This window comes from Homo sapiens, chromosome 2 (assembly GCF_000001405.40).
Source record: "Homo sapiens chromosome 2, GRCh38.p14 Primary Assembly".
Taxonomy (NCBI): Eukaryota; Metazoa; Chordata; class Mammalia; order Primates; family Hominidae; genus Homo; species Homo sapiens.
Window position 1 is genome coordinate 76,746,053 of NC_000002.12, and position 12,928 is coordinate 76,758,980.

The window sequence follows — 12,928 nt, forward strand, 5'->3', positions numbered from 1 at the left end:
TGAACTTCTAGTAAATTGATTCTACTTGAATGATTAAGAAAACCCATGTAGCCGGGCGCGGTGGCTCAAGCCTGTAATCCCAGCACTTTGGGAGGCCGAGGCGGGCGGATCACAAGGTCAGGAGATCGAGACCATCCTGGCTAACAGGGTGAAACCCCGTCTCTACTAAAAATACAAAAAATTAGCCGGGCCTGGTGGCGGGCGCCTGTAGTCCCAGCTACTCGGGAGGCTGAGGCAGGAGAATGGCGTGAACCTGGGAGGCGGAGCTTGCAATGAGCCGAGATCGTGCCACTGCACTCCAGCCTGGGCGACAGAGCGAGACTCCGTCTCAAAAAAAAAAAAAAAAAAAAAAGAAAACACATGTAACCCAGAATATAATATTAAGAGGAAAGATAACAGAATTCAACAGCAATAGCCCTGTGTTCCAACATGAAAAAAACTTCCCTCAATTGAATTTTGCTTTAATGTGACATACTATTTGTATCCTTTGGGATAGAATTTAACTTCAAGCTTTGTTTAAAGTGGTAGTAAAACAGACCTTCTTTGAGGGAGAGAAAACAAAACATGTTCAGTTAGTTTGCTGTGATGTGATGGTATTTACAAGGCTCTTTTATTAATTCAGCAGAATTTGGAATTAAATGGATGGCAGCTATTAACTTGGTTCTGGAACACTCAGCAGGGCCACTGTAAGTAAGCATGCCTTAAAACATGAAACTTGTCCAAATAAAGGGTGACATAAATTTTGTAGTATAATTTAGTTTTAAAAATAAAACTAGGCAAATTACACCAGTGGACACATCAGGAGAATGTCCACAATTAGAGAATTGCTAAGATGTAGCATTACAACATGAAAGAAGTTGAGAGAAAATGTCACAACTGATGTGCACGGAGTGATCTCCTTTGTTAAAAAAAATGGGTGATGCTATCCATCTTCCTAGTTAGTAACCAATTTCCACACAGTTCTTTCACTTCTATAAGGTCTGACAACCTCTAACCCTTCCATGGATACTTACTTTTTCTCATATTATTATATAATTTTATTTAGAGTAAGGTCACATAGCTCTGAAAATAATTGTGAAGTGTATTGGGGCATGTATTAGTCCATTCTCATGCTGCTAATAAAGGCATACCCAAGACTGTGTAATTTATAAAGAAAAGAATTTTAATTGACTCACAGTTCAGCATGGCGGGGGAGGCCTCAGGAAACTTACAATCATGGCAGAAAGGGAAGCAAACACGTCCTTCTTCACATGGCTGGAGCAAGGAGAAGTATGAGAACTGAGCTAAGGGGGAAGCCCCTTATAAAACCATCAGACCTTGTGAGAACTTACTCACTGTCACCAGAACAGCACAGGGGTAACCACCCCCATGATTCAGTTACCTCCCACTGGGTCCCTCCCACAACATGTGGGGATTATGGGAACTACAATTAAAGATGAGATTTGGGTAAGGACACAGACAAACCATACCAGGCATAAACCACGTCTCATATTCCTTTTCTGCACTTCACAGGGCCTTCCTATCTGACCATGGAACACACAGAAAACACTTGATAGATACCAACTGATTCTTATTGAAGTACCCTGATATAGACTAGAAGCATTCCACAATATACAGATAAAGCACTCAGCATTAGGTGGGCTGTGGTATACCAACCACAAAATAATATATTTATTTTTCAATATTTTTTCTTTTATTGATAAAAACTACACAAAAGCTAATTGATAATTAATTTAAAAAGCAATGTTACACATTATCTTGTGTTTAGAAATTTGTCAGCTTGGCAGTTTCATTCATTGAGCCCATGGTCATATCTCTCTTATAGCCTTAGTCCACATGAGAATGATTCTGCTGGTCTTCTCATTCGGAGATCTTCATGGCTCTCTCAGGCATCCTACACAGTGAGGGCTGCCAATGGGACAAAACAAAATTCCTTCTATCATGTACCATATATGGCATTTGTCATGAAGGGTCATTCACCCAGACTTATTGGGTTTTCCAGTAGTTTTGTCAAACTTTGTGGTCAACTTTCTCCGTGGTCCGTGGTAAAGCACATTTTCTTTTGGTACAACATAAGCTTTAATGCTCATGTTTTGTATTAGAAACTTGACCAGGAAAGAAAAAAATTAAAACAAACAAAACAAGAACAAACAGCATTTTTAAAGAAAAAATAAATGAAAGCAATTTAAATAAAATCTGTGAGAATTACACACACCTAAAGAGGAAAACGGTTGTTTCCCTAGCTTCCCACCCACCCCTGTTTATTTGCTCCCCTGTGGTTCTCCAGCCCAGGAACCATGCAGTGTAGAAAAATCAAATATACAAACAAACCTATATGTAGCTAGGGTGAAATCTATTTTTATAAGAACTTGACACTCTTACTATTTACATCCGGGAGCATTTTTGTTTGTTTTATGTTTTAAAGCAAAGAAAGTTCTGCAGTCCTCCCGGTAATGCTGCAGGTGCATTCGCTGCCCTCTTCAAGCAGTTTTTTTTTCTCTTTTTCTTTTCTCTATGCCATAAATGTTTTAACAGGAACGATGAGCTTGCTCGATTGCGCGATTGTGGACACCCATTCTCCTTTAAGATGAAGGCCCTCCCTCCCCCCCATGGAGCTCCCCAGTGAGGAGTTGGCTTCAGCGTTAGTTTGCAATTCTCTCTAGGTAGATGGCCGGTGCTGCCGACCTGGCGATGGTGGCGATGAAGCTGTGGTCTCGGCCCAGCTCCAGGCCGGGGCTTTCGTCCTGCTCTGGAGACACTGTCTCATAGCCCTTGGTGACATGGAGTGGCTGGTGGGCCTGGCAGTACCCGATCACAGGCTGGTCATAGCTGTAATATGGCAAGGGCTTCATGTGGTGTGGCATCTGGATATGAGAAATAGAAAGATGGGTGGATTATAAAATTGCTTTGGAAAGATAGGACAGCACTCATCAGGTTGTATTTTTGTTCTCTTTCATGCTGTTTCAAGTCATCAGCTACAAATTCAACTACAAATAAACATTAACAAAATGATGATTACTATTTAACTCAATATTGTTTTGTCAGCATATTATGTGTATAGACTTTGTACATAAAACAGTATCTTTCAACTTTTCATTGCTCTAGCTAGCTAGCTAGCCATTGCAATAACAGAAAGTTAGAAACAACCTAAATGCCCAGGGAATTTTAAAATTGATTATGTAGATCCTACATTTGAATGTAGATCTTAACAATATAGGGGAGGATCTATCTGTTGTAATACGGCAAGATATGGTACTAAGTAGAAAAATAATTAAGGTGCAAAAGAATGTATGGTATGATCTGTTTTGTGTAAATAAATATATTTACACTTTTATTTATATATATAAACATATATGTAACTTTTTATTTGATACCTATACACAATTGAAATCTTTACTATCATCATGTGTAACTTTTATTTAGTTTTAAAAAATAATCACAATTTCCTATAGATTAATTCTAACACTCTATCACATATCAATACTGGACCAAAGAACTCTGGAATCATGGGAGAAGGCACATCTTTATGTTCATAATATGTAATGTTATTATTGGTTTTCAAGGTAACAAGCCAAATATGTGTCTAATGTTAGCGTAACAGACCTGAATAATGGTCTGCAGAAATTCATTTAATATAAAAAGCAGAAAATATCAGTTATAATAATTTTGAATTTTGGTGGAGCTTTTAATTAAGCCATAAATTTCTGATAAAGATAAATATATTCCAAATTTAGGAAAAAGCAAATGATACTTGCTTACTTGTTGTTCTCATGCTAGAATATTTCTCATACTTGCGAGTTACAATTTGACACTCTTGATGAACAATCCACAGATGAGAAAAGTGCAAAGGCTCCATTGCCCTGTAAGGTTAGATGTTGTGGCAGGTTTTAAACTATTGACTCTCAGCTCTAAGTTCCCTTCTGTGGTTGCTTTTAGGATGCTGAGGTTTGGACTTTGCAAACCACATATCTGTTTTATTTGTGGTTTCCTGTTAGGCTTTGCCAATGGAGGGAGATGGCAAGACTTGGCAGGGAGAGGGAATTGCTCCCATTGTTGGTTTCCTGTTTTGTTTCTTCCTCCTCCAGGAATTTATCCTAATGGCATGTCTTCATTCTGGCTATATCAATTTATTCCCACAGCAGCAGGTGCTGCCTCTTTGTAGTATTTCCAACATTTGCAGTATATCCAACATTTGATCTCATCAAGCCCTCCTCAGAGACACCAGCACTAGCACCAGAGAGATTTGAGGTTCATCACCACAAAGCTTCTCCTCCAAGCTTTTAAGTCTTAATGATCTTCCTTTCGTTCCCTCAGCCCTGTAAGTTGTAGGGGTGGTAGCTACTTCCTAACATTGCTGTTTCTGTGATACCACAGCAATATCTTAGCCTTTGCATAAACTTGGTTAATAACTCTATATCCAGTTAGCATTCTTTCTAAAATTTCTTTCTTAAAATAACTGATATTTTGTCAGTCTCCCGACTGGACTATGTTTGAATCCTTCTGTATCTAAAAGTGCAGAAATTAAGTTGTTTTGATTTTATAATTTACTAGAGTTAACCACCAGAGGTCTTATGGCTCCCTATACTGCAGGGAGTTAACCAGTCTTAAATATAATTCAGCAAACTTATTTTTAGATGTCATTCGTCTGTTTACTATGCAAGTTCCTCAAATGCTCTTAAAACTAGCTCTAGTATTTTCTTGCTGGTATTTTTATTAATGTGATTAATACAACGTTGACACAAATTCCCTCTCTATTCTTATGAGAATTATGTTTTTAACACCTCTCTGCTTATTAAGGGGAAAGTCACCTCCTCACAGTTTTTAAGTCTTAGATTAAAGCAATGTTTTCTATGCGCAAATGCAACTCATTAGTAGGTTATGAAATCAATTTTGTGAATCCAAATAAGCATTTAAAAAATTAAATTAGCTAGAATAGAAAGTATCAGAGTATAAAGATAAGTTGTTCATAAGAGTTTTGTTTTAAATTTATGTATGTGCATATCAATGTGTGTACTGGGACACATTTTGAAGTTTGAAAATTGGGAATCATGGTAGACCATGTTTTTGAAAAAATACTTGATCAAAGCACATATTCAGATTACAATTTATTTTACAGTGACTGGCAATAGCCTAGATAAATTCCCATTCTGTTTTTACTATTCACTTCTATTAACTTGTATAATTCACTGTTTTTCACAATGAGTTGGAAAATTAAATCAATATGTAATGCTTTGTTTCTGATTTGTTGTTGTTTTACCTCTAAAGGAAGGTAAAAACTATTTTCAGGAAGTCTTTTACAAAATAGTAACAAGAGTATTTCTCATCAAACAAGCTATTGATAAAATCTTGAATATGCCATTCTATTCTGTAAAAAGGAGAATTGCAAAAAATACATACTAGGTCAGAGTTGTGATTGATAGTGATATTTTAAAAATTGGACCTTAATTTCTGTGCTGACAGAGAGAGCTAGGAACAGACTGTAAAGTGACATGGCCGAATTACTAGATACTAAATAAAAGTTAGCTCTAATCTCCCTCACCCCAAGTCTATTGTTTTGTTTTGTTTTTATTATATCTTATTCAATGAGACCTCTTTCAATCAGTACAGGTTCAGACGTAAAATGTTTGCCAGCGGGACCTATTTTAGGAAACCTCATAGGATTTTTCAGGGTGTCAGATTCCTGGAGATATGTGGGATTGGTGCCATGGGTCACTTATACTCCAAGAAAGCATCGAAATGTAAGAAGACACTTTGTGCTGACATTTCAGTGGGAAGAATGCTTTCAAAAGGGATTTCCTAAGAGTAATACAGCCCATTCGTACTCTCTTGTTAACTGGTGAAGTAACATAATTTGAAAATCACATAAAAATTCAGCAAATTATTTCCAAATGGAAACAACATTCACTGATTATAGAACATTTATTCTACACTTTAACTTAAATACATGACTAATTTTCTACAAATTAGCCAAATTACTAAAAGACATCAACATGAACATTAAACATGGGTTGTGGTTTTGTTCACCGTCTTGTAGCTCTGTCAATGGTCTTCACAAAGAAGAGATACTTGAATTCACAAACATGTATAGAACAGTGAATGTGAGATGAAATCAGGGCCTTAGGGATCTTTTTGCACAACCAGGTGAATCTACAGATGAAAATAAGTAGCTCATAAGTGAACATTGTTGAATTTGCAATGTTTACTTAAAGCCTTTTAATTTAAACTATAGTGGGAGATAACAATTTCATAGCTAAGAAATCATGGTATTTGTCTTTGAATTAAGTTGACTTAAAAGTCAAGGGACCTGCATTAACTGCAAAGCTTTACGTTTACATATTACACCATTTCTGAACTGAGAAAATTTGTTTTGCTATTACAATTGCAGTTTATTTTTTTACAGCACTTAAAAGAGGGCTCATGTCATTTTCTCTATTGTAATTGAGGCAGGCTTAAAACCTCTTGGAGAGTAAAAACCATTGTAAAGTTCCCTCCTGCACAGCAGACCAATAGCAAGAATTCAAAAGCCAAGTGCATTGGCAAGCTTTGAAAGAGTATCTGAAATATTTGCTCTTTTACTCTTCAAGTGTATTCTATAGGGCACTATGTAATCAACTGAATTCGTGGTTTCTGAGGAGCTCAGAGGCTGAGGTCTTGTACTTTACAGTAATAGTGTACAGTACATTAACCACCTGGGTCCCTGTGTGTGTCATTGTTTCCTTTCCAGTAGTCAAAACAAAGTATTCTTAAGTTTTGCTTAATTCAGATTTGGTATTTTTGTAAATGTGTTCTCAGAGCCTCTCCAAATGGTTCTGTGTTCCATCAGCTCTCTGATGAGCTCCACTCTATAGCACAGCAGAACAACACTATTTAAAGATGTCCTCGTTAGAACACTTGACTGCTCATTGACTGCATTGGAAGCTGCACTTTATTTACAGATAATGGATGTGGAGCACAGAATTTAAAAATCACATAGAGAAATATATTCTACTATTCTGAAATTCTGCTGTTTGCTACTCTGAAGTATATGAGCACTTTAACATAAATCACATTAAATTGTTCTTTCATTCAGGGATAGTTTAAATCTGAAGTAGGTTGTGAAAGGGAGGAACCATTATGACTAATTATAAGTCACTTTAATCCTCTTGAGTTTCAAGTAACTCCTCTGAAAATAGGGATAATAATGACAACTCATTGACCTCTATAAATTTCAGAAGATGCTGAAAGTATTCCCTGATACTGAACAAAGAAGGAATACACTGAAGGGCCATAGTCACACTCTGGTTTTACTCAACACTGACAGTGTCTTTCTTGAAAGGTGACATGTCTTTTGTCTTACAGTTTCCATTTAGAGAGATGCTAGCACATGATGGCTCATAGATTGGCTCATTAACAAGCCCTTCAGTCCTATTTTCTGTGCTAAGAAGCTAAGAAACTTTTGTGTATGTTCTGGTTTTCTAAAAACATCATTTATTGTTCAGCTCGAGTATTTTTTTCTTCAAATACAATGAAGAAGTTAAAAGTGACACATTTTTTTCAATTATAGGGGTTCATAGTGTTAGTAATTCAAAAAGAGAAGTTAGGGAGAGAGCGTATTTTTCAATGTTGGGAGGCAGGGTAATTATAGAGGACTATGTGGAGTTTCACAATCTGAAAATTGATTCAAATCCCATAATTCTAAATCTACCATAATTATATTTAAAGTGAGAAATGAACATGTCTGTATAGTAAATGTGAGAGCAATGTGAAATGGACTCTTGATATATATGATTGTGAAAGGCTTTTGAAGTTCAGTTTTGTTATGAGCATGAAATTCCGATATTGTGACCCTCTTTTCTCAAAGGTATTAGCATTAGTTGTAAGTCGCTTAAGAGTCGGATCATTTTAAAATTACCATGGACTATCATTGGTCTTATTTGTTAACTTTTCACGAACATTGTTCACATTTCAGCATGAGTTCTTTCAATTGAAGTCATAAAAAGTTGATTTTCAATTTTCTAAATGACATTTCATCTCTAATTTTCAGAATTAAAGGATAGTGTCTAACTACTCAGGGCATTTAAAAAGTACCACTATATAAATCCAGATAAAGAATTCAATGCAGTTGAATTGCTTAATGAAGATAGACACTTCACTTATTGAAAGTAAAATTAATTTTAAAATGAATGTCCATAGCTAAATGAATATATAACTTAGCTGTTATTCTACTGGCTATATTAGTATGTGACAAGAATGGACAAGGAATAAGTACATGTAAACAAGTTTGGGTACTGGTTTTTTTCAAGAACTTTTATTAAACTGATAGAACCTCAACTCATTTAACTTAGACAAAAGGGAAATTTAATTGGCTCATAGAATACAAGAAAGGATATAATGGCTAAACTAAAGGATGAGCAAAGATAGCACTGAGTATTAGGAACAACTGAACCTAGGAACACAATGTCATCAGCATCCTCTCAGGGTCCTGTCAATCAAACATGCCTGATAGTTTCAGCATGTTATCTTCATATCCTGGCTGCCAAATGGCTTCCTGCACCTGACAGACATGTAAGTGTGAAAGCTCCCAAGTTTTACGTATTCCACTTATGGTAGATTACATTATGGCTACAGTTATTTCTAGCACCCCTCACCAATAGGTGAGGTGTCTACTTCCCTTTGCCTAGAATACAGGCTGGCCTTGTAACTTCTCTTGACCACTATAACACAGTGACAGTGACATTATGTGAGTTCCAGGAGCCTAACCTATCTAGCCATTGCCCTGTGAACGTGCTTAGATTATTTTGCCAGAGGATGGAGGCTATGTGGAATGACTGGCATCTTAGACCAGCCAGTCTCTGCAGCACTCACGGGAGCTCATCACAAGCACATGTGCACAACAGCAAAGTCCGCAAAAGACCCTAGATATGTAGAATTGCTCAGCTAAGCCTAGCTCATATTGCCAACCTCCACAGACTCAAATATATGTTTTCTGTTGTTAGCCAATCAGCTTTGGTGTGATTTGTTATACAGTAAAACCAGTAGAGCAGCTTCCATTACCAAAAAGGACTATATCATGTGGTCCCTGGTACCACTTTCATTAATACATGAAAAGATCTTGATTATTTTATCTTAGTAGTCTATCCCTGACCATTTTACTATACTTACAATGTTCAATATTTATATAGATTAAGTTGAATCAACTTCTCAGTTCTGGTCATGGGGAGGAAGTTTTGCAAAGATAAGACAGCTCCCAGACAACTAAAAATTGATTATTCTGATGACTAGAAAACTTATTTTACAACACTATTTTGAGAAAGTACCTTAAGCTCAAAAGTTAACTGTTCTGTATTAAGATGGAAATTTGAGTCCTGATCTGTGATTACTAACTCCAATTTCCCATCCCAATGTTTTGTAAAATGAAGTGTTTTTAGTTTTTTCGTGTTTCTTTTTTCATCACCAAACCAAAACTCTTAGAAACTTCTGCAAGACAGAGAGGACAATATACTAAACAAAAAATGTTCTAGCATATCGTTCGATGCAGCTATAGAAAAAACTGGAGAAAAATTATTTGCAAAACTATGAATCTCTCACTAGCATGGTGTATCCAGGGCTGGTAAAGAAGGAGAAAAATGCAGAGTTTTGAGCAGTTCCCTGAACCTGTGTAAAATGAGAGAGAGCACTGGAGTTATAGGAAGAAAAGGAGCCTCAGCCTTACTCACAGGGTTCACGTTATAGAATATTAAGGAAAGCAAGGGCATATCTGAACCCAGAAACTCACATTCTATTTGTAAACTAAAATTAAACTAAGCCCTCCAAACTGACTGAACAGACCTTCTTTTGGCCCAGGGGACCTAGAAAAAAACTGAGTTCCTGGCCATGGCAAAACAGGAGGTCAGACATGCCTCATTATACCCACTCCCTGGGGAAGTTTAAACACAATTGACCAGCATTAATGTTAAAAAAGCTATCATAAGACTGAAAGAGCAGATGCTTTGTGGCAATAAGATACCAAATTATAGGCAAGACCTAAGGCCATGCCAGGCAAGGATTAAGTCATGCACCCCTACAGATCATTTTGACCCAGTATGCTGTGGTTTGCTCTCACAGCCTGACTCTAGCACAGTATCACATGATAATTGGTAGACTTCTTTATCTTAACTTAAACATTCCTTTTTATGAACTTCAAGTTTTTAGACATAGCTTTGTTCCTTCAATCATTTGCAAATTAAAGAATCTCTGAATCCATCTATGACCTGTAAGCCCTGGCTTCCGTATATTCTGACTTTTTTGGGCCAAACCAATGAATGACCTCCATGTATTGATTCATGAGTTTGCCTGTAACGTTTGCTTCCCTAAATTGTATAAAACAGAGTTGCATTCTGACTGCCTAGTGACCACTTACTCAAGGCTTCTTGGGTTTATCTTTTCTCCAGGCTGTGCTCTCTCATATTGAATTAGAATAAACCTCTTTGAACAATTTAAAAGAGTTTGATTTGTTCTATCATCATATTTAAAGAAGGTAATTCTTCAAGTGACTTCCTAAAACAAAATCTCTCTCCCTACTGTTTTATTTCTTGTTCATCTGCCTTCACCTGTAGCAGTTTTTTCTTTCCCCAATGTCATAGTCAACTGGTTCATTCATCAAACCAAACCTCTCTTTAAATGGAGGCCCATGCAATCTCTGAGCTCCTAATATTTGATATACACAAAAATCTCCCTCCCTAAAGAGAAGCTATAATAGAGAAAAATCTGCAGAAATAAGAAAAATTCCAGAATTCGAAAGAAGACGAGGAAGGCAAGATTTACTAAAAATGAATGAAAATAGAAACAATTTAAAATGTATTCTCATTGAACTCCCTCATCTAAAACGTTGCTCAGATACTTAGATATTTGCTGAATGAAAGAACAATAATCATACCCTTTCTTTATTTTGTTTTGAAGATGGAATAAATAATAAATCTAAAAAATAATCTAATTTATGGAATAATTCATTAAATTTATTAACATTTATTTTAGAAAATCTTAAAAGGAAAACAAGAAGACAGTGGTGCAAATTGATGCCTCATTTCCATTTCTTTTCTTATGGGCTAAAATGTGTATAGCAGATTGAGCACGCAAAATGTACAATACTCAACACACTAGATGTTGGCTTTTTACACTGATTGGACTATTGGGACAATTTTAAACTTTCATTTTGACAAAAATTTCTCTATAGCATTTGTTTGTCTTGTCCTGTTGTTATTTAGAGGTGGGAACATGTACTATTTGTGTACTCAACAGTTATCCAAATTTTAACTTTTAAGTCAGTCAGGGGATAAGAGAACAAAGATCCATTTCCATCTTTATTGCTCTCCTACCAGGATTTGTTGTCTATGAGGTGCCCAGAGAGTTGATTAAGTTAATGAATGAGGTACTAGCCATCTTTGAAGTTAGCTTTGACTCCATTAACTGGGAAGCTTATTACATTAGCAGCACTCGCAGTATTCAGTGAGGTTTTAGGCTAATGAGCTGGATTAATTAGCTGGTATTAATTTCTAAAGGCTTTCCTTCGGTAGCTCTGGCCTCTAAATTAGAACGAGTAAAGTCTCCCCAATAGTGCATTGTAAGCAAACAACCTGTTTAAGTGAATCTACATAAATTTGCCTCCAAAGTACTTACTACAAAATAGAGATGATAGAATTTCCAATCACATAACTTTCTCCTTTGTGAAAAAAATAATTGTAGAAGTTTTAATGACATACAGAAGACAAGTTTCTCCTAAAACGGAAAACAGTGATTATTACTTGGGCACAAATTCCCTCCAGGAAAATTAAAACCATGCAAAAGTAAACAAACAGAAACAAATCCTATCAGCCTATACAACAGGATCAATTTAAGATATGTTTGTTTTAATCCCTTCTCAGAAATTTGAAAAAGGAAATGAAAGCAGGAATGCCAGTACTAAGAAGGTGTAATCGGCATTACAGAGTTTTCCATTCAAGTTCACTTGCAGTTTCTCCAATATTTAGAGTAGCCTATTTCAGTTTCCATATGAATTTGTGTAGTCTTCAATTTGGATCTATATAAAACCATTTCTAGTGCCCTTAACTTGTTTTACTTAAGAACATGCATCTTGCCTGAGAAGGATGCAACTGATTTGCTTGCCTTTTGCAGATTTTGAACATATATTCACTTCGTGACCCTCCCAATGCCTCCAATCTGACAGTACAGTGGGCATTCAGTAAAACCCAGGAAATTAGTTAACAAATGTAAAAGTGAAATGAAATTCACATGTAAGTGAAGTGATTGAATTTCTTTCTATCCTGTACCTCTGTAAAGCAGAATTGCATATCCCATGGTAAAAGTTTAGAACCTACAGACTGACACAGAAGGAAGAAAACTGCAGAGGACATACACATGCTTGATACAGTGAAATGATTACCATGAGTCTAATAGAGTACAAATGTAACTTCTTGGAAGACTGGCTGGTCTTCATGAAAAGAGGCATTGAGATGTATTTTTAATTACAAAAAGGGGAGAAGCCCATTTAGAAAATGCAATTAAAATTTTTATTCTGATTGAATATATTTTGGAACAACATGGCAGAATGACTCACAAATAATACTGGTCTCATATTTTAAATAAAATGTGTAAAGGTCTAGGTTAATACCTGGATCCCTGCCATAGAGTGTATGCTATTAAGGAGTAATTATATGAAAGTGAATTTGCCATAATAGTTCATTTATTTATGTATTCATTTCATTATTCACATGGTAAATATTTATCACAGAGGTTGGCAAACGTTTTCTATAAAGGGTCAATAGTAAACATTTTAGACTTGCAACCCATACAGTCTCTACCATAACTACTGCAGTCTGTAACAACCACTCAAGTCTGCCTTTATCATGAGAGAATAGGCTTGAACAAAACATAAATGAATGAACATGACTGTTTCCATAAAACTTTACAAACA

The 12,928-nt window shown here is 36.0% G+C and overlaps 1 protein-coding gene across 4 annotated transcripts in view; it reads right to left on the minus strand.

Moving 5' to 3' along the window:
* LRRTM4 (leucine rich repeat transmembrane neuronal 4) overlaps positions 1,633–12,928 on the minus strand; it is a 774,692-nt gene continuing 763,396 nt past the window's right edge. For all 4 annotated transcript variants that reach the window (NR_146416.2, NM_001330370.2, NM_001282924.3 and 1 more), the window contains one exon: positions 1,633–2,864. Coding sequence is in view for 3 of the 4 variants with exons in the window: in NM_001330370.2 (NP_001317299.1) it covers positions 2,643–2,864 (222 nt within the window). In the remaining variant the exon portion in view is untranslated. The remainder of the gene's footprint in view (positions 2,865–12,928) is intronic.